This window comes from Homo sapiens, chromosome 10, assembly GCF_000001405.40.
Source record: "Homo sapiens chromosome 10, GRCh38.p14 Primary Assembly".
Classification (NCBI taxonomy): Eukaryota; Metazoa; Chordata; class Mammalia; order Primates; family Hominidae; genus Homo; species Homo sapiens.
Window position 1 is genome coordinate 120,960,043 of NC_000010.11, and position 21,611 is coordinate 120,981,653.

Consider the following 21,611-nt stretch of genomic DNA (forward strand, 5'->3'; position numbering starts at 1 on the left):
TACATTTATAAATCAGATAACATCCTTGTTTTCTACTTTTTGACATGGGAAATGTGATTATCCATGCCACGTCACTGCTTTTCTCAATGCTATCAATGGCCTTTAGATTAAGTGGGTGGTGAAGGTCAAGGGAGTCATCAGAAGTTTGCTTCTCTGGGAAGGCACATGTGAGCTGGGTGCTTATGCCTCAGAGATGTCTACGAGGAACCCAGCCAAAGGCAGGGCTAATGAAAGAAGAAACCGAGAAATTCATTATGCTGAACTGGGATCCAAAGTGTATAACAACCTCTAACATTTATTTTCCCACTCATTCAACACACACTGTATTTATGCGCTTACTATGTACCAGGCATTAAGAGTTAAAAGATAAAATTTGAATTCTATTTGCCAAAGAGACTTTCTGGAAAGCTTTTGGGAAAGGATGTCCACGAATAGAGGAGGTCTGTAATCCACAGGCAAGACCTCTGCAGTCTGAAAGATTCATACACCTAAGATACATACAGTCATTCTCATCATCTGTGGTGGTTATGTTCAATACAGGCACTCTGAACACCGAATTAGCACGTCCTGACCCACTGCTCCCAGGGGAAATACAAGGTTTGGTCCCTGTGAGCCTCTGATCATACTGTTTTTGTCAACAGATCAATGCATAACCGTGTTTTATGTGTGTTTCTGTTTAAAGACCCCTTATTTAATGTATACTGTTGACTCACTGATATTGAACTCAGTGCCCATGGCACTATCACTTATGCATGAACAAGCTTATCTAACGCATAAACTCTCTCTATAAGGCAGGAAAGACCCTTCTTGCGCTTAGGAACACCAGACGGCACTTCAGCACTGTGCCTAGGGGCCATTTTAAACAGCGAAATCATCAAGAAAAAAGCACAAAAATGAGAAAAATGTTGCACTAAACAGAGCATGAAAGGACATTTGCTCATAGTGTGAGAGCTGAACATGCACATACGTGTTCATCACTCTGCGCTTGTCTGTGAATGACCGTGAACATGCTGCAAGTCTTGATTTGGGGGTTACAAGTTAATTTTATCAAGTAGAAGAATTTGCCAACATGGAATTTATGAACAATGAGGATCAATTATATATATTTTTGGTGTCAGAGAAGAGCTCACGATGGAACCCCGTACACTTGTTTGGGAGGGGAGTTCGGTTGTGTGCACCTAAAATCTTTGATGCTGGGAGTCCAACTTTGGAAACTTATCTGGAGAAAATTATCAGGCAAATGAGTGAATGATTGTGTACAAGGATGTTCATTTATAATTTAATGAAACACTATGCAATCATGAAAATGCATTGATGAATATTTATTAACATGAAAAATTTATGAAATGCAAAATGAAAATACAGTCAAACAATATACACATCATAGGCCCATTTTTGTGATTAATATATTTTATTTACGATGTCTAAAACAGATATATTTAGTTTATAATCCAGATATTTTCAATTTCTGAGTAGAAAAAATTCTGAAATTATATATATTACTAAGGTACCATGTCTGGGAGTTGGGATTATAGAACAATTTAGTTTTGTTCTTTGTACTTTTCCGTGTTTTCTAAATTTGTTTACAGTGAAAGAACTGCTTCTATAATTAGAAATGTATTGTTTCACAATGAAGATTTTTAAGGTTCTTACTCTCTGCCAGGCATAGGGCTAAGTTCCTTAACTCTTGAATTTTTATTAAAATTGTATGAAACAATCATTTATATTTCACTATTTATAATAAAAATAGAAAAAACCTCAAGATTCCCTAGCCTCATTCCTCAGATTTGGAAGGCCCTCGAAGGCCAGCTCCCCCCGACACATCTTGCTGCCATTCTGGGAACCGGAATCAGAGGTGGAGACTCTGGCCCAAGTCCCCACTGCTCAGAAAAGTGCTGAGGTCTGAGTCTTTCCAGCCAGGGCAGAATTCCTGGGGCTTGGCCACAGGGACAGGACTAACAGATTCAGGCAGGAATTTTGTCTGTCTCCTCTATTTTTAAAAGAAATAGCCCCTGCCTAAACTGGGTTGAGCCTTGTATTATCTGGTTTTCTTCAAAGCCTGAGCAAAGACGAGCTGCCGCTATCCAGTTATGTGGGACTGTCTGGGGAACGGGGTTTCTGGGAGAGAAGGTACTCTGCCCAGAAACAACTCAATTGTCAGCAGGGCCCATTACTGCACGAAGATGAGCTTAACAGATGTCAGCCCATCAGCGTGAGAGTTTCTGCTTGTAATTTATCCTTTGGAGCATTGCTCTATCCCCAACTTATATTTTTCTAACAGTCAACAAATCAAAAAATGACCAAAGGTGATAATGGGGACCGAGTTTGGGCTCCCACCCTTTCCACATGGCACCTTCCCTAGTACCAGTCTCTCTAGTGTGATATTTGACGAATCCCCGACTTTCCAGCTTTTTCGTTTTACTCCATTACTTAAAAACTGCAGAGTCTACTAGATTTGAGGCCAGAGGACTTCGATGCAGGTGCCAGTCTGCCTCATCTGCCTGTGTGACCTTGACTAAGCCACTCATCCTTTCTGGCCGTTGGGTTACCCATTTGGAAAATCAGTTCGAAAAATTAGGTCATGTTTTGATTTGTCGACTTAAAAAAATGCAGGTTGGGCATACAGCAATGAGGTCCCATCCTGGAGATTGGATCATACTCCTGCCTGCGGAGGCATGTGTCTGTCATGGCAAAACCCAGTGTTTGGATTTTGTGATGTTGAAGTACAATCAGAGAACAAAATGGGCTACTCAATTTCAGCATCAATGAGCTTAGCTGGGCGGCATTGCTGTGGGCAGGAGCAGGGGGACCTTCCAAAAATCACACCACACAAGGGGTCTCCTGACCTACACAGAACAAGGCATTACCCCCTGGGGCTGGCCGATTGGAGCTCCTGGGATCACGTGGCAGAATTAGCCATGGTTTGTGGTTCTTTTCAAGCAGCCAAATTCTCTAAGAGTGGTGTAAATGTCAGTTTCATGAAAATCCATTCTAAAAGCCCCGATCAACTTTTCAATCACCTGCTCCCCCTTTTCTGCCCAGTTCTCCCGAGAGCCCGAGGCGATTCTGAGATCAGAGAGCATAATTACAAATGAACCGGGGCTCTGGGGATGGCTTACAGCTTAATTAGCTCCCATCCCTGCACTGTCTCCATGGCTCGCCTCACGCTCCGCTCAGCGCTCAGCTCAGTCCTGACTGCCAAAGAATTCAGAGCAGGAGCCTCTTGGCTTGTTAACATGCTCTCCTCGGTTCCTCCTGACACTCACATCTAGGCTGCAATTAGGCCCAGGTGAGGCGACAGAGAGTCCTGAGCAGCTCTCGCTGCCTCTGTATGTGCCTCCGGAGCTGGTTGGGGGTTGGTGCTTGTCTGGACCGGCCCGGGGGTGAGGTACACCATGGAATGTGGAGTGGCGGCGGCTGCAGCCACTTGCACCTGCTCGGCCCAGCCCAGGTCAGAAGGCTGCGGGCTGCAGGTGTGTTTCCAGGGGCACCTGACAGGGCAGGGACCGGTCATTGAAGGCACCTGGAGTTAAAGGGTGCTGTCTGATACCAGCTGGTGGGGGAGAGGGGATTGGGAGAGGTAAGGGCTGGGATGGCCCCTGGGCAGAAGTCACCCTGTGCAGCAGGAGCTTCCCTCTAAGCACAGCCATGGCCCTAGAAAGGGCTTTGGGCTTGTGCAACATTAAAAGGAAGAAACTACAATTGTACCTTGAGGGTTCCTCTCAAGGAAAAGCGCAAACCTGTAAGCTGATTTCTCGGTCCTCATGACTCCCTGGTGGCTTAAGGCTTGGGCTGTCAATGAGTTTCCAGCTTGCAGTGTGTGACTCTACCCTAGAGGAAACTCTCTCTCTCCTGGACAGGAGGAAGCTTAGAGGAAGAATCTTGAGGGCAAAAAGAAAGGTCATTAGCTGGGAAATAACACCTGTCCAAGAAGACAAAGGGAGGAAATAGCAGGGCCGCCTGCTCCCAAGCAGGATCCACCCTCACGTCACCTGGCTGCCGGGGGGGTCTGCCTAGGCTTATTGAACCCAAGACCCTACAGAAGGGTTTAAGCCTTCCTCAGAGACAGGAAGTGAAAAAACAAAACTGCAATAATGTTAAAGTGAATGTCTCCAAAACATAGTATTACCTCTGAAAGTTGAGGTCACTCTACTTCAATCATTACATAAAACTGTGTTCTAATGTTAGCCAGGGATGTACTTTAATCTGTTTCATATAACAGGGAGTCATTCCCCCAAAAGCAAGTGCCTGAGGCCTGTAAACCTCTTCACATAGACCTACCCCTCCCAAAAGAAACCTGCAAAGAGACGGAAGGAACATGAATCTGTTCAGTCACAAAAGCACCGAGGCATCTCAGGGACCACAGCTCCGGTCTGGGGCCAGCCACATGGCTCCAGGAAAAAACTTCTCTGTCAAAGAGATCCTCAGCACTCCCACCCTCAAAACTGCACTCACCTGCTAGGTTCATGGTCAGAACCTGGCGAGGAAGCCATGTGGTCCATGCACAGAGAGGCCGGTGCCACAGATTTTGGCTTTCCTTCTTTGGGAAGGATGATTAAGTGGGAGCATTCGAGGGAGAGAAGGAGAACTCCATCTATCTTCTCCTATCCTGGATCAAGAATTCTCTGTTCTGCTTGCACTCCTTTACTGAGAAGTGCCCTGTCTGCTTCCCTGAGCTCTGAACCGTGCTGCATTGTGGTTATATTGTTAGAAAACCATGGCTTCCGTGCACACGGTGAAGCGAGAGAGACAAGACGCTTTCCACATTTGTATCTTAAACAGGCATTGACTGAATGCCTACCATGTGCCTAGCAGGTGCTATTTTTGAGGTGCTCAGAGGCTGGCAGGGAGATAATTCTGGCAGTACAAAATTCCCCAGAGCAGGGGAAGGCACCGAGTGTGGAGAGGCCTGGAGAATGAAGGATTAATTCTAGCTGAAGGTAGGGAGGCCTCACAGAGCAGGCCACCACCAAGCCACGTCTCCGATGATGGCAAGGGTGTCCCTGGGGCCAGGCCTGAAAGACGGTGTGGACTTAGTGGGGAGGGACTGAGGTGCTAGGCAGGACCCAGGCTGGAGAAGTGGATTGTAATTCAAGGGAGAGACCCCTCATACTGCCCTGAGCAATTGGGAGAGCACCTCCTAGTCTATGGGAGCTACTGAAAAAGCCCAACTAGGAGACATCTGTGTGTTTCTAGGCTGCAGAGTAGAAAATGGAAGGGACAGGAAGGAAAACAGAGGCCTCATCTACTGACTGCTTTTTAGCAACATCATCGCTATGCACCAGTCACAGCCATGACGGGGTCACACCGCTGTTTCACCCTTCCAACGTACGCCTGGCTTTCTTTATAGCTTTTGTATCTAAAAACCAGCAGTGTTTTCATGAAGGCCAGAGATGGGTTTGGATCTAGATCCAGGGCCAGTTGGAAACCCCAGGCCTTGCTCCTCACAGTGTGGCCTGGGGACAGCAACATCATCAGCATCACCTGGGAGCTTGTGAGAAATGCAGAGTCTCAGGCCCCACCCAGACCCACTGCATCAGATTTCCCTAGCTCTCCAGAGCCATGTGTGACTTCCTAAGCATTCCTGGACCAAAAGTGGCCACTCCCTGGAGCAATGTGACCTGAAGGATGGACCCTTCCGCTCCCAGGCTCAGGCCACAGAGGACAGGGCAGGAGCAAAACCAGAAATTCCCTCCAGGTTCTAAGCAAGGCTTCAGCTTCAGTTTTTTGATATTCTAGGTGGGAGGCCAGCCAGAAAGGGCTCAGTCAGTCTCAGGCACACGGGCATCAGACACACCGTCAAGAAGCAAAACAACCCAGGAATGCAGGTGAGCTCATGCCGCCAAGCAGCAGTAATTCATGCTGCAACAAGTTACATGTGTTTTATAGAGGAGGAGGCCTGTACAGGTGGAGTCACGCACCCGTGCCTGTCAGCACTTACATTATCCATGATTATCCGGATTTTCTTTTCATTTGGCCCCAGAGAAGGAGCTGCCACACAAAGAGTTCAGCAGAACGAAGTCACTGGCCTTACTCCTGGATAGAGCAGTATCCACAGATGTAAAGAATAACCAGTCTAACTGTGTGTGTGTGTGTGTGTGTGTGTGTGTGTGTGTGTGTGTGTGTGTGTGTGTAGGAGACATGCGGGTCAGACCTCAGGGCTGCTGAGATATGATGTACCCTAAAGGGAACTTGCAGAGAAGCTCTCTACCTTGCCGATCTGTGGGTCACAGCGTGAGAACAACTTTCTCATCATGTTTAGGGCCTTGAGCATTTGAAAATAATAAAAAGGAATAGTTTGAATTAAAATTTATGGTTGAGTCTGCCTGTCTGGGAGGAGCTGGCTTAGTGGGCAAGGCTGACGCCAGCCAGGCTGCAGGGGCTGGAAGAAATTGGACACCAGCAAGGCTGTGAGGAGGGATGACTCTCCCATAGACCTGCGTGGTGGGCCCTCTCGGCCAGCCGCTCCCAGCTCTGGTTGCACATTGGATGCTCCTAGGAGAGCGTTTAAAAAATGCTGATGACTGGGCCACACCATAGACACAGTAAATCTGAACCACTGGGGTTGGAGCCCAGTAACTGAATGATTTTTAAAGCTCTCCTGGTGATTTTAATGTGATGTCAGGATGAAGAATCATAGGCTGAGGCCAAAGGCTCCAGGCTCGAGGACAGCAGGTGGGCCCTTAATGTTTCTGCTCCTGGGTGGGTCTTCCCCTCTACTAGGCAGGCATACAGGCCTCAGTGGGTGCAGGAGGGGTGATTTCTAGCATTCAACTCCTTGGGAATTTTACCAAACTGTGTATAGGGACGGCGAGTGTGACCAATCTGTCTGCAGGGCTGTGGAGTCAATTCTGCAGCAGCTGCCCCTGTCTCTGCTAGCCTCTGAATACTTGCTATGGACACTTAAAATCTCCACCAAGATGCGTGCGCTTTTCATTTTTCAGAGAACGTGTACACCAATGATCTTATTTTATCTTGTGTATTAGTTTTCTATTGCTGATGTAACAAGTTACTGCAAAAGTCATGGCTTGAGACAACAGACTTAATTGCCTTATAGTTCCAGGGCACTAAAATCAAGGTGTCGGCAGGTTGCATTCCTCCTGGAGCTTTTTGGGGAGAATTGGGTTCCTTCACTTCTCTGTCTTCTAGAGGCTGTTGTGTTCCTCTGCTGGTGATTGCCTTCCTCAAATCACTCTGACCTCTACTCTGTCTCACATCTCCTTCTCTGACCCTCCTGTCTCTGTCTTCCAAGGACCCTTGTGTTTACATCATGCCCACCAGGATAATCTTCCCATCTGAGGATCCTTCCCTTAGTCATATCTACAAAGTCCCTTTTGCCATGGAAGGTCACATTCACATGTTCTGGGGATTAGGATATAGACCTCTTTGGGGGAGCCATGACTCCATCTCCATGCCCTGACAACAGCCACGTGAGTCAGCTGTGCGTTATTATACCCATTTGGCAAATGACAAAACTGACATGTAGCCAGAGACCTAGGTTTTAGAGAGCAAAGGTGAAACTATATGCTTGTTATCCTCCACCTAGTTGTTGCCCTGCCCTCCTGTGGAGGTGGTTATTTCCACACACTTTTGTTGGACAGGTTCGTGGGCACCCAGTTACTGATACAAAATTACTGCCATCAGGTTGGGTGTGCATCGCCATGGGCCCAGGAAGCCAGTTTCTCTCTCTGGGTTGGTGCCCATGGTTCTGGACAACTCTGATCTCCTCGACTAGGTCTATGCACCTTTACACACAAATGATTACCACACGCCTCTCCTCCATGGCATTTGTCAGGATTCTACCACTGTTTATGTACCTCTGTCATTAATCTCAGCCTTTCCCTTTCAACGGTAAACTCCATGAGGACAGAATACATACTTGCTTTTGCACTCCAGCACCTTGTAGAGCACATGTGAATGTTTAATAAAAATGTGTTAAACGAATGAATGTTTGTCAGCAGTCGAAGCCTTACAGATGACAAGCAACTACTCCTTTGCCTTGTAGAAGCTGTGGCTGATTGCTTTAGTGTTCCCATCTACTCACTTCCCTGTAGGAAGATTACGCGTCCCATTCATTGGCCTGTGACTGTGGGGGCTGCTTCCTGCCCCACTGCCAGGCTTGGTCATGTGACTTGCTTTGGCTAATGGAATGTGAATGTGAATATAACAGAAGCCATGTCTGCGCAGCTCTTAGAGCAGTTCCATGGCTTTGCTCTGCCTCTTGTTCTTTTCCCTTTCCCAAGAGAATACAATATCCAAACTATAAGATACTTTTCTGGCATGTGTCCCAGAATGAGAAGACATTAAGGAATGGAGCCACCATGTTCACCTTGCAGCTCTCAATATGCCTGAGATTGAAGCTGTTGTTGCTGTAAGCCAATAAGATTTGCAGGTTTTCGTTATTGCAGCATAACTTAGCAAATTCTGACAAATACAGAAGTCATCACTGGACAGCTCAGGGCATATCCAGCTTTCCTTCCTCCCCAGTGGTGACCCAGGTTACAGCCCTGGCTCTACCACTTGCAACCTGTGTGATTTTGAGAAAGTCACTTCACATCTTTGGCTTCAGATTTTTATACCAATAGATAAAAGCTTCTTCTGGCTTCAGAATCAGCGATTCTGGAGATCTAGCCTATTATTCGACACTTGACTTCTGTCCTTAATGAATTATCTGCAGATGGTATATGGTGCCAGGGAAGTTGCCCCAAATTTTTAGTATGACAGTTATGTATTCTTGGGCAAACTTTTTTATCTCTCTTTTTGTTTCTAAAAGTCTTATTTGTAAAAGGGACAGTTATCACACAATGTGGAGGTATGTCACCTAGCTCACAATATGTACTCAATAAATTTAGGTGTCCTCCCCTTTCCCTTAGCTACTTGATCAGATTCATCTTTTCAAGTGTACTTTTTTAGCATCTTGCATGCCCTAAACTTGGGTGCTTTGAGGGAGGGGGTGAAAATTCCTGGAAAAAAAATGCACAGAAATGTACACAGATGTTCACAGCAGCATTACTTCTAATAGCCCCAAAGTAAAAACAACAGAAAGGAATATTATTTAGCCATAAAAAGGAATAAAGTACTGATTTATGCCACAACATAGATGAACCTTGAAAAGATTATGCTAGAGGAAAGAAGTCAGTCACAAGTGGCCAAACACTGTATGATCCTATTTACATTAAATGCCCAGAATAGGTAAGCCCAGGGGGATAGAAAGTAGATCTGTGGTTATCTAATTTACTGGGAGGCAGCAGAGTATGGAGGAGTTGAGTGGGAGCGGGAGGGTTGGTGGCTAATGGGTATGAGGTTTCTTTCTGAGGTAATGAAACTGTTTTGTGGTCAAATAGTGGTGATGATTGCACAACTTTGTAAATATACTAAAAACCACTCAATTGTACACTTTCGTTTTTTTAATCATGTACTTTAAAAGTATGGAACATGTGGCGTGTGAATCATATCTTAATATTGAAAAAAACCCAACAACCTCAGAAGGACGCAGAGGGATGAGTCCCAGGGGCTGCTGGCTCAGGTGGAGGAGCATTGCCACGCCAGCCCTTCTTCTCAGCCTTGTCAGTGTTATCTTGCTTTGTTCTCCTCCTAAATCTCTCTTCTTTTCTTTTGATGCCGCGTGCTCCAGCAAGGGGAAAGGTCTCTTGTTGCTTTGCTCAGAGGAAATGGTTAGGAGTTTTCAAAGACCATTTTATTAAAAATTTTAAAAGAGGCTGGGTGCGATGGCTCATGTCTGTAATCCTAGCTCTTTGGGAAGCCGAGGCGGGTGGACCACCTGAGGTCAGGGTTTCAAGACCAGCCTGGCCAACATGGCAAAACCCCATCTCTACTAAAAATACAAAAATTAGCCGGGCCTGGTGGTGCATGCCTATAATCCCAGCTACTTGGGAGGCTGAGGCAGGAGAATCACTTGAACCCAGGAGGTGGAGGTTGTAGTGAGCCAAGATCATGCCACTGCATTCCAGCCTGGACAACAGAGCAAGACCCTATCTCAAAAAAAAAAAATTAAACACATAGGGAATAAAAATATAAACACATAAAAGATGGAAGTGTTTTGGAGATCATATTCTGTACACTGAAGTAGCCACAAGCTCAGGCCAACTCTGGGTCTTGTGTCCTTCCCACCCCCTCAGCCCTGTCTAGGGGAACCGGCCCTGGAGTCCCATGTGGAAGCTCTGGACAATTTCCTCCGTTCTCCCTTCCCGTTCATGCTGGGCCTGAGCCCTCACTGGTCATGGTGTAGTGGAAATGGATGGCAATGGGTTGGTGGTCCTCTCCATATAGAACACCATTTTCTTCCCCCACAGACCCAGGGACCAAGGCACTGGTGAGTGGGGGAGGGGGGCATTTATGAAGACTCTCAGTTATTCCTTCCATTCCCCATTCTTCCCCCTACAAGAGAAGGAAGGGTCATTTCCTTACAGCGCTCCACCAACACTTGTCGATGGACCCACTGCAAAGCACCCAGAAAATCATAACTTCTTCTTGCTTCACAGAAGACTCTCAGCCCCTCACTCCCATCTTCAATCTATAGTTTCAAAGATCACCAACTCAATTGTTAGAGTATCCTAGCAAAATAGAAATAATTTCTCTGTTTTTCGCTTGGATGATTTTAGTTTTGCATGTGTTTTGGATTGGTTGGAGTCCTATTGGCCACTATTACATGACCAACTTGAGCTGATAGGACAACTCTCCCACATACAAGAGAGTGGACGGGTAGCACCTTGGGGCCCCTCCAGAGACCGTCATCACCAGTGGGGTGGGGGAGTGTCTGCTTTTCCTCACCAGTCCCCACTTACCTCCGAGGGTTTGGCTGGTGTTATCCCGAGAGACCTTGGGATATGGGAACATGATTTGTCTACTTCTTCAGAGCCTTAGAAGCTTATTTACAAAGCCCTCCTGGTCCTGGGTTGAAAGGGCTTGCAGAAAGACGTAAGATGTTCTCAAAACAATCCAAGATCCAGTCAATATTTATAACCCAGGGCTTTAGCTCAGGTGGCTTCATGAGACTATTTGAGCTCCACTTAACTACTGTACATTGATCATCTGTGGGAGCCCTTTTGCCTGCTGGCTCCTTTATCTTTATTATACTGTGCAGTTGGGAATACACTTGACTCTCAAAGGCTCAACTTGTACCTTTCAAAGGAAAAATTTCCACCTTATTTTTAAGCCCTATCTTGTTCCCCTGCAGTCTGAATAAACATTACTCAATAGCTGGAGTTACTTAAGCATCAATCATTTCCATTTCAAGGAGAAGGTAAAGGGAACAAAGATGTAACAGCACAAAAAGATTGAAATTTAACCTCCACCGCTGGGTGCTTTCCAAGCTTGTTCAGATTAGTTCGTCAAAAAAAAAAGCCCCAGAGAACTGATGTTACCTCAAGTTCACTGAAATTCTCTTTCTCTCAAGGATTACACTTGACTATGAAGCAAGTCATCCTGGAAACCCTAGGCAGGCAATGAACTCGGCTAGTGAACAATTTGCTTTCTCTGAGTGGTTTCCACAAACTTTTTACATTCCTCTTATCTTCAATGCACCTTCCATCAAACTGGTCTCTCGCCTGGCCTCCCCCATACCTCTGTCCAATACAACTCACAGTTCATGGCCTTCCATTCTCTCTCTCTCTCTCTCAATTCTTTCTTTCTCTCCATCCTCCTCTGAAAAATAAAATCATCCTGTATAGAAAAATTGGCCTCCAAAATCTCTACTTTCTCCAGTCTCATTGACTTCCCAGATGCCATTTTTGGCTCTGAGATGTAGAAGTCCTCTCCAGAGTGGTGACAGTGTGTGCCTGGGTGTGGTCTCAGACCACCTGTTCTCAACTCCCCCGGGGACCTTGGTAAGCAGCTAACTTCCCCGAACCCTATCCATCCCTACTGAATTAGACTCTGGAAGTAAGCCAGGAAATCTGCATATTAAGCAAGCTCCCCAGGTGATTTTTGGCCCAAGGAAGTTGGGGATCTGCTGTACTGAGGGAGGATATTGGCTTTGGAGTCAGAGAAACCCTTGCTGGGTTCTGTGCTTCGCTCTTTGCTAGTGGCATGATTTTAAAAACAGCTTTATTAAGATAGAATACACATACCATGAAATTCACTCATGCACGAATCAGTGGTTTCTAGTACATTCACAGAGGTGTGCAACCATCTCTACAATCTATTGTAGAACAATTTTATCACCCCCAAAAGAAACCCTGTGTCTATTAGCAGTCACTCCCCATTTACCCTTAGGCTCCCAGCCCTAAGCAACCATTAATCTTATTTCTGTCTCTATGGATTTGCCTATCCTAGACACTTCATATCAATGGAATCCTACAAAATGTGGTTATTTGTATCTGGCTTCTTCCATTTAGCATAATGTTTTCAAAGTTCATCCGTGTTGTACCATGAATCAGTACTTATTCCTTTTCGTGGCTGAGTAATATTCTACTGCATGGATATGCCAGCTTTTATTTATCCATTCATCTACTGATGGGCATTTGAGCTGTTTCCAGTTTGAGGCTATTGGAAATAAGGTTGCTATGAACATTTGTGTACAAGCTTTTGGCATGGAGGCATGCTTTCATTTCTCTTGTGTGAGCTAGGCATGGAATTGCTAGGTCTTATGGTAACTTTATATATAACATTTTGAGGAACTGCCAGGTTGTTTTGCAAAGTGACTGCACAATTTTACATTGTTACCAGCAGTCTATAAAGGCTGCAGTATCTCCATATCATTGCCAACACATTTATTTTCTATCTTTTTTTAAAATTATAGCCACCCTACTGAGTGCAAAGAGGCATTTCACTGTGACTTATATTTGCATTTCCCTAATAAATAATAATGTTGAGCATCTCCTATAATGATTGGCCTTTTGTATATCTTCTTTGGAGTACCTAATTTAGGAAGGCATTTAACACCTCTGAGCTTCAGTTTCCTTGCCTATAAATTGGAGTAATTGACAAGGTGATTAAACTAAATGAGGCAATGAAGTTGGAGTACCTGACACACAGTAGGCACTTAAGGAAGGTTAACCTTCCACACCACTGATATTTGAAACATGTCAACGTAGACAGTCTGGAGCCATGATAACCAGATTCCCTTTCCCGTAAGGCTCTGGGTTAGGATTGGCCAGGGGAGATATTAGTGGGAACTCTGGAAGACACAGGTGGCTCAGGAGCCACTTCATGCTCTGAAGGTTGGCACAGTGCACCATGGCAGCTCGTGCATGCTGCTGCTGCTCTGCTGTCTCACTTTGTTGCCATGAGGCAGCAGGTGCCCCTGCAGCTCTGTCAGCTCCCACTGGATCTGGTCCTTCAACTTCTGTAAGTCCTGGGCCAGGTGTCTGTGCACTTCCATGGCAAAGGGCACAGTTTCTTCAGCAGATCATCTGTGTTATTAAAGGTACATGGGAGACAAGCTTGGGTTCCAGTTAGTCCTTATGGATTCCAGCTTATCCATGCTCCCTTCTATTCACATCCAAATTTTTTTTCCTCTCTGCTGGGTCTAGCTGACCTATAACGACTTCAGGCTTAACACCAGAGGCAACCACCTTGCATAGATTTTTCCACCAGCTTTTTGTACTGTGTATAGCCCAATTCCTATGAGAAATGTCTGATTCTCTATCATTCAGAGTGATTCTGATTCTCTGATTGAACCTGTGAGATGCAATCACCAAGGGCAGCTGTGGCATCTCCCCAGCTAGAGAAACCAGGGGCTGGGATGAAAGTTGGTCTCCCCAGCAAAAGTAAACGCATGGTGACCTGGAGTTCTTCCCATACCAGTAACCTCAGGTCTCCCCAGGCAGAGGTGAACCTCCACTAAACCCTCCTGTGTAAGTTTCCTATGACTGCTATAACAAATGACCACTAACCTAGGGGCTTAAAACAACACAAATTTATTACCTGTCAGTTCTACAGGTTGTTAATCCAAAATAGGTCTCATGGGCCAAAATCAAGGTGTCGTCAAGGCCACATTCCTTCTGTAGGCTCTAGGGAAGAAGTCATTCCCTTGTCTTTTCCAGCATCCAGAGGCTTCCTGCATTCTTTGGCTTGTGGCCTCTTCCTCCATCATCAAAACGAGTAGATAAGCATCTTCAAATCTCTCACTCTCTTACAATGACCCTCAGGTCCCCTCTATAAGGAGTCTTGTGATTATTCTGGCCTCACTTGGATAATACAGGATAATTTCCCCATCTGCAAAGTCTGTATCTGCAAAGTGCCCTTTTCTATAGTGTGGCATATTCACAGATTTTGAAGATTAGGACTTGCACATCTTTGTGGCCATTATTGAGCTGACCGCATCTCTAGATCCATTCTCCTTACTTCCTCCCTGCTGTTCAGTGCCCTAAGAGACTGCTGAATGAACTGCATTTACCAGCTCTCTTGCCCTCTTGCTTCTGGTAGGATTTAGCCAACGGGGGGCACCAGTGAAGATCAGAGAACAGAGGAGTCCCTGATTCTCTGCCTGAGGATTGAATGCATCCCTCTATCAAAGGACACACTCCTGGTGGCCAACCCTTTCCACACAGCTCCAGCTCCACTTGTTCTATTTCCATTTCTTGCCCCTCAGGCCTAGGGATGGTAGCCGCTTCCCTGCCTGGCTAGCTCCAAGGTAATGCAACATTCCTTGTTGGTTTCCTTTAACCCTGTACACATCTCTGTAAAAGTCCCTGTTTGGCATAAATGTAACAGCTAAAACTATAAAACACTTAGAATACAACATAGCAATAAGTATTCGGGTTTAACAATGGATTCTTAGATATGATCAAAAAAACCCCAGTCAACAAAAGAAAAAATAGATACACTGAATTCCATCAAAATTAAAAACTTTTTCATAAAAGAACACTAGCAAGAAAGTGAAAAAGACAACCCACAGAATGACAGATCTGACAAGGGTCTAGTATCTAGAATATAAAGAACTCTTACCAATCAACAGAAAAAGACAGACAATCCAATTCACAAATGAGCAAAGACCTTGGATAGGCATTTCTCCAAAGAAGAGAGACACATGGCCAACAAGCACATGAAAAGATATTCCCAACATTAGTCATTAGGGAGATACAAATCCAAACACAGTGAGATACTACGTCACACATTGTAGGATGGCCATAATCAAAACAAAACAACAAGTGGGTTGGTGAGGATGTGGAGAGTGGAACCTTCATACACTGCGGGTGGGAAGGTAGAATGGTGTGGCTGCTGTGGAAAACAGTTTGGCAGTTCCTCAGTAAATTAAATGTAGAATTACCATGTGATCCAGCAATTCCGCTCCTAGGTATATACCCCAAATAATTGAAAACAGGTGTTCAAATAAAAACTTGTACATGAATGTTCCATTCCATCACCCATGGATCCTCCCAGTCAGCTCAACTTATGAGCAGAAAACATTTGCTTTTAGACCCTCACAGGAGACAATGGGTGTCATTGCAAAAAGCCAATGCATGGAGCCTATGGAGGGGAGGGCTGACCATTGTCCAGGAGTGCTAATCACAGCGTAACACAAAGTTCAGGGTTTCTGCCAGCTGGGTTATTTCTCAGTATGCTGGAGGGGGTGGAGGTTGCCCTTCACATGCCTAGAGAGGCCCCTGATTTATGGGGCTTTAAGAAGAAAACAAGGTCAGAGGAAAATTGGCTGACCCACTGTGAGTCCAAGTGACTTCAACTAAAACAGACAGAGAAGATGGAGATGATAAAAAAGGAAAATTCAGATTTAGTGTCTGATGCTCCACCTCCTAAAAATAGGCAACCTCCCAGGCTCTGTCCTTGGCTTTCTCTTTGCCTTGTCTCTTTTGGAACTCACTGTTAGACATTTCTGTGCTAAATATTTCTATCTGCCAGCTACAAACCCTCTGCTGGGAGTCATAGCACACCTCCAAGGCAGCATATTCCAAATTGAACTCCTCTTTCCTTCCTTCATTCACTGTGCTCCTCTTGTCACCATCATCTCCAAACTACTCAGCACCCTGGCCTCCCTATCTGTCATGCTGGCACTGCCACTTCCCCTCACCCTGGCTCTGAACCTCCTAGTCTCTGGCATCCACATCCCTTCCGTTTCCTGGGACCACAGCCTCACAGCTGCACTGTGCTCAGCATTTCACAAGGACTGTCACACTCAGCCTTCACATTTCCTAGCAAATTGGAAGTGAGGCATCTGACACCATATACCCAACCCGTATTGCCTGCCAAAGCCATTGAATCTCTGCTTCCTGGCTCTCCCTAAGGGGCAGTCTACCATTGGACCCAATGTCCAAGTTCTCTGAAGGCCTGGCTCCAAGCTACCTGTCCCCTGCTATAAGCCTTCAATTCATTATCATAGAAATGTTGAAAACTCCATTTCCCTCATTCTGTATCAGAAGTTTCTTGCATATCTATTTTGTGCTGGGCATGGTGTTAGGGACTGGTATCAAAAGAGTGAGCAAGACTCTCAGGGGGCTCACGATCCAATAGGTAAAGTAAGTGTGACCTCGGACTATAGGGTGAAAAGGGCTGCAATAGAGAGTGAGGAAGTGAGTATCCTCTGGGACCACAAATAAGGTACCAACCCCAGACTCAGTAGGTCAGGGAAAGCCCCAGGTACCCTCAAGATCAAGTCTAGATTCCTCAGCAAGGGTGCGAGCATACCCACACCTGGCCTAGATTCCCTTATCTGGCCTCTAGACTCCTCACATGTCCATGAAGCACCCACAAAGAGGTCCTCCTGCCTCTTTCCAAACAAGCCAGCACCCTCCTACTCCTAACTGTTGTTATTCATTCTTCTTTCTCTGGGTTATTCTTGCTCCTTACCTTTACATGTCAAACTCCTACTGAGCCTTTGAGAGCCATAGAAACACTACCTCTTCCCTGAAGCCTTCCCTGGTCTCCAGACTCACACATAATTTCTCCGTGCATTGCCCTTATCATTTTCTACATGGTATATTGCATGTATCTTCCTTGTCCCACTGAACTCAGTCAGGGCAGGCACACATTGCTCATCTTTGAGGGCTCCCAAAGGGCCTACCTACCACAATGCCCTGCACTGAGGTGAAGGAGGAGGTGAGTTAAAAGCCCAACAGGGCCAGGCACAGTGGCTTACGCCTGTAATCCCAGCACTTTGGGAGGCCGAGGTGGGTGGATCACGAGGTCAAGGGATTGAGACCATCCTGGCCAACATGGTGAAACCCTGTCTCTACTAAAAATACAAAAATTAGCTGGGCATGGTGGTGCACCCCTGTAGTCCCAGCTACTCGGGAGGCTGAAGCAGGAGAATTGCTTGAACCAAGGAGGCGGAGGTTGCAGTGAGCCGAGATCGTGCCACTGCACTCCAGCCTGGCAACACAGCAAGACTCCGTCTCAAAAAAAAAAAAAAAAAAAGGCCCAACAGGATTTCATTGTTTACATTGAAATATTAATGGGTTACACATGGTAGATTTGAAGCATTCTGTATGCACTGCGTACTTGTACTAAAATCCTCTGTCCACTCATCTGCTTTCTCATTGGTCTGGGAAAAAGTTAAGGTATGTCACGTTAGTCTATGTGTCCTGGGGCCTTGAGCTACACCTTGTAGATCTGTAGTAAACATTTCCTGACCCCCAACCAAGAGCGAAAATGTCAAAGTCTTTCACATTACCCTTGTTAAGACTAAATTAAGGCTCTTGCAAATATAATCACATCTTTCTCTTTCATACATTTGGTGAGGGAGCACTGGCTTTTATTCTGGGATCATTGCTCTCTGCCATCCTTCCCAATCCATTGCTCTCCATTTGTCCACCCACCGCTAAATCTTCACCTCCTAAACCAGTTCTATTTGGACTGGCCATCAGCCCAATCCATACAACCTTCCTTCCCTTCTCTCCTCTCGCACTTGGGCCTCTCACCTTGGCTTTACTTTGGAGAAAGTTTAAAAGGCCGGTCTCCTCCGTCCCCTTTAATAATATTATGTTATCTTGATCAGCATTTGTATTTCACATTGTAAGATTCTGGCCTGAATTCTGACTTCACTGGGGAAGGGGAGGGAGTTGGAAAGAGGATTGTTGATGACGGCGATATTTTATTACGTGTGATGGTCATGGGTTAGACGTTCAGCTCTTCAAGCTGGAGGCTGAGGGTGGGGAAGGGGAGAGGACACTAAGTATCATGAAGTCACAGTGCAAGATATTTTTCAAGGAGACATCAAAGCCTTTTTCCATGGTGTCTTGCCTTGACCCCATTTCACACTGGCAAAACACAAACTCAAATTAAAGTAAAAATACCAGGACAGCTCCATTTAGCCAGTTGGGCTGCTGGGCTAAGTGACTGACTTTATTAAAATCGCCAAATGCAAACATTCCAAGATTTATTTTCCTTGCTTATAATTTTGCTGCCTTTCCACTGGTGGGCTGTTTATTTCTAATAATTTGGTAGAAAAAAACATTGGCTCATACCAGTGGAGGTCTTATATGCCAAACTGCAAACCAGAGCACATTTTACTGAGGAATAAAACCCCTGGAATACAGGCTCCGGGGGGCCCGCTGACGGCAAATTTACAAGCGTAGTACAATTGACGCCATTATAATTAGTTCCCCCCAAAAGTCTTATTTTTCAGGGCAGAGATCCGACTCTTTCTCTTTACACATGAATATCTCCGGACTAGAGCAAGAACATTACAGAGGGTGAGTCATAGACCGGCTTTGGGCTTTAAAGATTAACGCAGATCCTATAAATCTAACCCACATTCTTTTACTGGGAATGACTGACTTTTATGAAAACCAAGGATTGTAAATCAGAAACCTAAATAGCTTACTTTGCAGCAGATAAACACAGATTTATGTAGTGAGGGAGCCCTAAGTTAACCCTTTCATGGGGCCACGGCGGACCTGAGGGTATGTGTGCGGTGGGGGTGGGTTCCATCAGCACTGATGTTCCTTTCTAAACACTGCACGGTGGAGAGGAGACATGCCACATGTTTATCTCCAGCAGACTGAGGTGGGAGGCAGGAGGAGTGCGTCTTCTTGAGCCAAGTGAGCTTCCTACTGATCCATCTCAGCTGGGTGCACGTTAAGCAGACAAGATTTGGCCCCTGATTATTTCAAAGGACAGTTTCCAACTTGAAGTGACACACACACCAGGGCTAACCTAGAAGGGGCTTCTGCACTCGTGCTCGTATGCGAGCCTATGGTAGCCTGGGCTTCTAATCATCAGCTGTGTAATCTCTGACAAAGCACCAAACCTCTGCGGACCTCAACCTTCTCGTCAGCAACATGCTGCACCTGTCATGTCATAAGGATTAAACAGGACAGTTTTGTAAGGTGCTTAAAACAGTGCTGGACTCACGCTAGGCACTCGATACATATTAGCCAGTATTATTCCTATTGTTACTAGAGCCACTGGTTACATAGACCGGGCTTCTCAAACTACTGCGCACACAAGTCGCCTAGGGACCGAATTAACGTGCAGCCCTGATGCAGCCGCCTGAGACCCGCCTTTGCAGCAGCCTGCCAGGAGGTGCGGATGCTGCCGGCGCCTGGACCGCGCGTTGAGCAGTGCAGGTGAACAGCTCGCCTAACGCACAAGCCACGCCCACACCCTTTCTACACGCTTTCTCGTTCACTTCTCATTGCAACTCCTTCCGCCGCGTGGACAGGTTCAGCACTCTCGGAGTCGATGTCATTATTCGCCATCGACGCGAACCTCGGCAAAGAGACGGGTCTTACCGGTCTCCGAATGTTCTCAGGCCCTAAGCGCGCAGCCCCGCACCCGGGTGCAGCCGGCGCGGTCCCACGTGTCCCTACCGCGAGCCGCTCCCCGCGTCCCTGCTGCCGCCGCGCGCTTAACTCTGCCTGCCCGCCCGCCCCGCCCCGCCCGGCCGTTCCTGCGCAGCCCTGGGTCGGCCTCGCGCTTCTGTGTTTAAACAAGCCTCGCCCTTGTGTTGCCCACTGCAACTTTAAAGGGAAACAGGGCCCGCTGATCCCGGGAGGGAGAGAAGGACATCTATCATTTTTATGTGGCATTTCAAAGGAGGAGGCCTAGGCAGTCCACAGACAAAGGCCCGCTGCGGGGTTAATGGAGAACCCCCATTTAATCATTAACGCTTAATACTAAACCCGCCCAGAGGAGGCCCGCCTGAGGGGGGTGCAGAGGGTCGCCGGGAGGCCCTGGCTCAGCCCTTGGGGGCTGAGGGGCCCTATGGGGGTCGGACGGGTTCAGGGCTGTCGTGGGTTGCTATGGAGTTGGGGCTCCGGGCCATCCTTGCAGAAGGGGGTTTCTGCTGAAGCTCAGGGTGGGAGCGTGAGAAAGGAGGGAGTGGTCACCGAGGAGGCACCAACTGGGGAACTGAGTGCTTTCCACAGGCTCCCCTTGCCCTGGGAAGGTGAAAGCATTAGTTTACTTTCTAGGCCCGACCTGAAATCCGAGTAAACCACGCAAATCCACGCGCACCTGGCCTGTGGTCCCCTGCGAATGTGGGGCCTCCGCAGTGCTTCCTCCTTCTGCCAGGGTTGTGACATGGGCATCCCCAGGCTCTTTGGAGCGCCCCTCCCCACCCCACTCAACCCCAGCACTGAGGCATCCCCAGACTCTGACATATGCTGACGCCCCCCACCCTCAGGTGCCCACCTCTCACCCCTCTGTCTGCCCCAGCTCCCCACCCTTATCACATTTTAATCACTTACCTGGAGCTGGGAATAAGCTGCCTCCTCATTGTTTTCCCAAATGCTTGAACAAAGCCTGGCATTGCACAGTGAGAAAGTCATTTCCTTTCCAATGCCCCTCCAAACCTGAGGAGGAGGAGGAGCAGAAAACGTGGCCAGCACAGGCTTTGACCCCTGCTGCGCACCTGTTCAGCCTTTTCTTAAAAGAGGAGAGCAGACCTCAGGCCCTAAACTGACCCTGGTTTCTGGCCAGAATTTAATACGCACCGTAGTGTGTTAACTCCCTTCTACTTAACTTTTAATTTTTTTTTATTTTGAAGTTTAGCACCATCCGTGATGTTAACTGGATGTAAAACGGAGTGAATCATCACAAACTGAACAACCTGTGAAACCAGCACCCAGATGGAGAAACAGAATTTGCTAATTTTGAATTCACAAAACAGAATTTTTCTGGGCTCCGGGAAGCCCCTCCCCCATCCCTTTCCACTCTCTATCCCTCCTTCCAGAAGGGCAGCCACTCTCCTAACTCCCAACAGAAGATAATTTTGCCTGCGTTTAGTTTTCCATCAGTCATTTAAATGGACTCACCTGGGCTCAGCTTCTCTCCCTCAACCTGTTGGTGATTTCCATTTGTGTTCAGTGGTATGTAGTTGTAGATTTTTCATTCCCTTTGCTGAAGAGTATTCATTGTGTTTATTTTTATGGTGACTTTCTATGTGTAATACACAGATGCCGGTTTTCTATTTACCTCCATCTCTACATGTTCAAATTACAAAACAATAAAACAAATCGAGTTCATTTAAAAAATCAAACACAGCCCTGGTGGGACACAGATACCGCAGCAGTAGTGTGGACGGTGCATGAGTCGTTAAGATGTGGCATTTCAACCTAGTAATTTAGAGAGATGGGGCTTCTGATCCTGTGCACATGCCTGGGTTGGGCCAGTTTTAAAACTTGTCAAATGGGAGCTTAATAGAGTCTCCTGGGGGCTCCCTTGCAGGCCCAGCACCACGGTGGCATCCC

General features: G+C 46.5%; 1 long non-coding RNA gene across 2 annotated transcripts in view, besides 2 other annotated features; it reads right to left on the minus strand.

Annotated features, from left to right (window-relative positions):
* The window catches only part of LOC105378519 (uncharacterized), a 79,804-nt gene extending 58,193 nt beyond the window's left edge, over positions 1–21,611 (minus strand). The window contains exons 1-2 of one of the 2 annotated variants that reach the window (XR_001747609.2): positions 21,177–21,611; positions 20,610–20,714 (exon numbers count right to left, since the gene is read on the minus strand). This is a non-coding gene — a long non-coding RNA (uncharacterized LOC105378519). Of the gene's footprint in view, positions 1–20,609; positions 20,715–21,176 lie in introns of those variants that run through there. The other variant, XR_946372.3, reaches the window with a different exon arrangement.
* Positions 5,225–5,394: an enhancer, noted in NCBI's record as "experimental_10489 CRE fragment used in MPRA reporter constructs". NCBI's record gives its function as "activates a minimal promoter by MPRAs in K562 erythroleukemia cells, with activity observed for both the introgressed and non-introgressed 10:122724865 or rs55853266 variant alleles {active_cell/tissue: K562}" and the evidence as "EXISTENCE:reporter gene assay evidence [ECO:0000049][PMID:34662402]".
* Position 5,310: a transcriptional cis regulatory region, noted in NCBI's record as "Neanderthal adaptively introgressed variant 10:122724865 (GRCh37/hg19 assembly coordinates) or rs55853266 in the experimental_10489 CRE". NCBI's record gives its function as "modulates activity of the experimental_10489 enhancer by MPRAs in K562 erythroleukemia cells {active_cell/tissue: K562}" and the evidence as "EXISTENCE:reporter gene assay evidence [ECO:0000049][PMID:34662402]".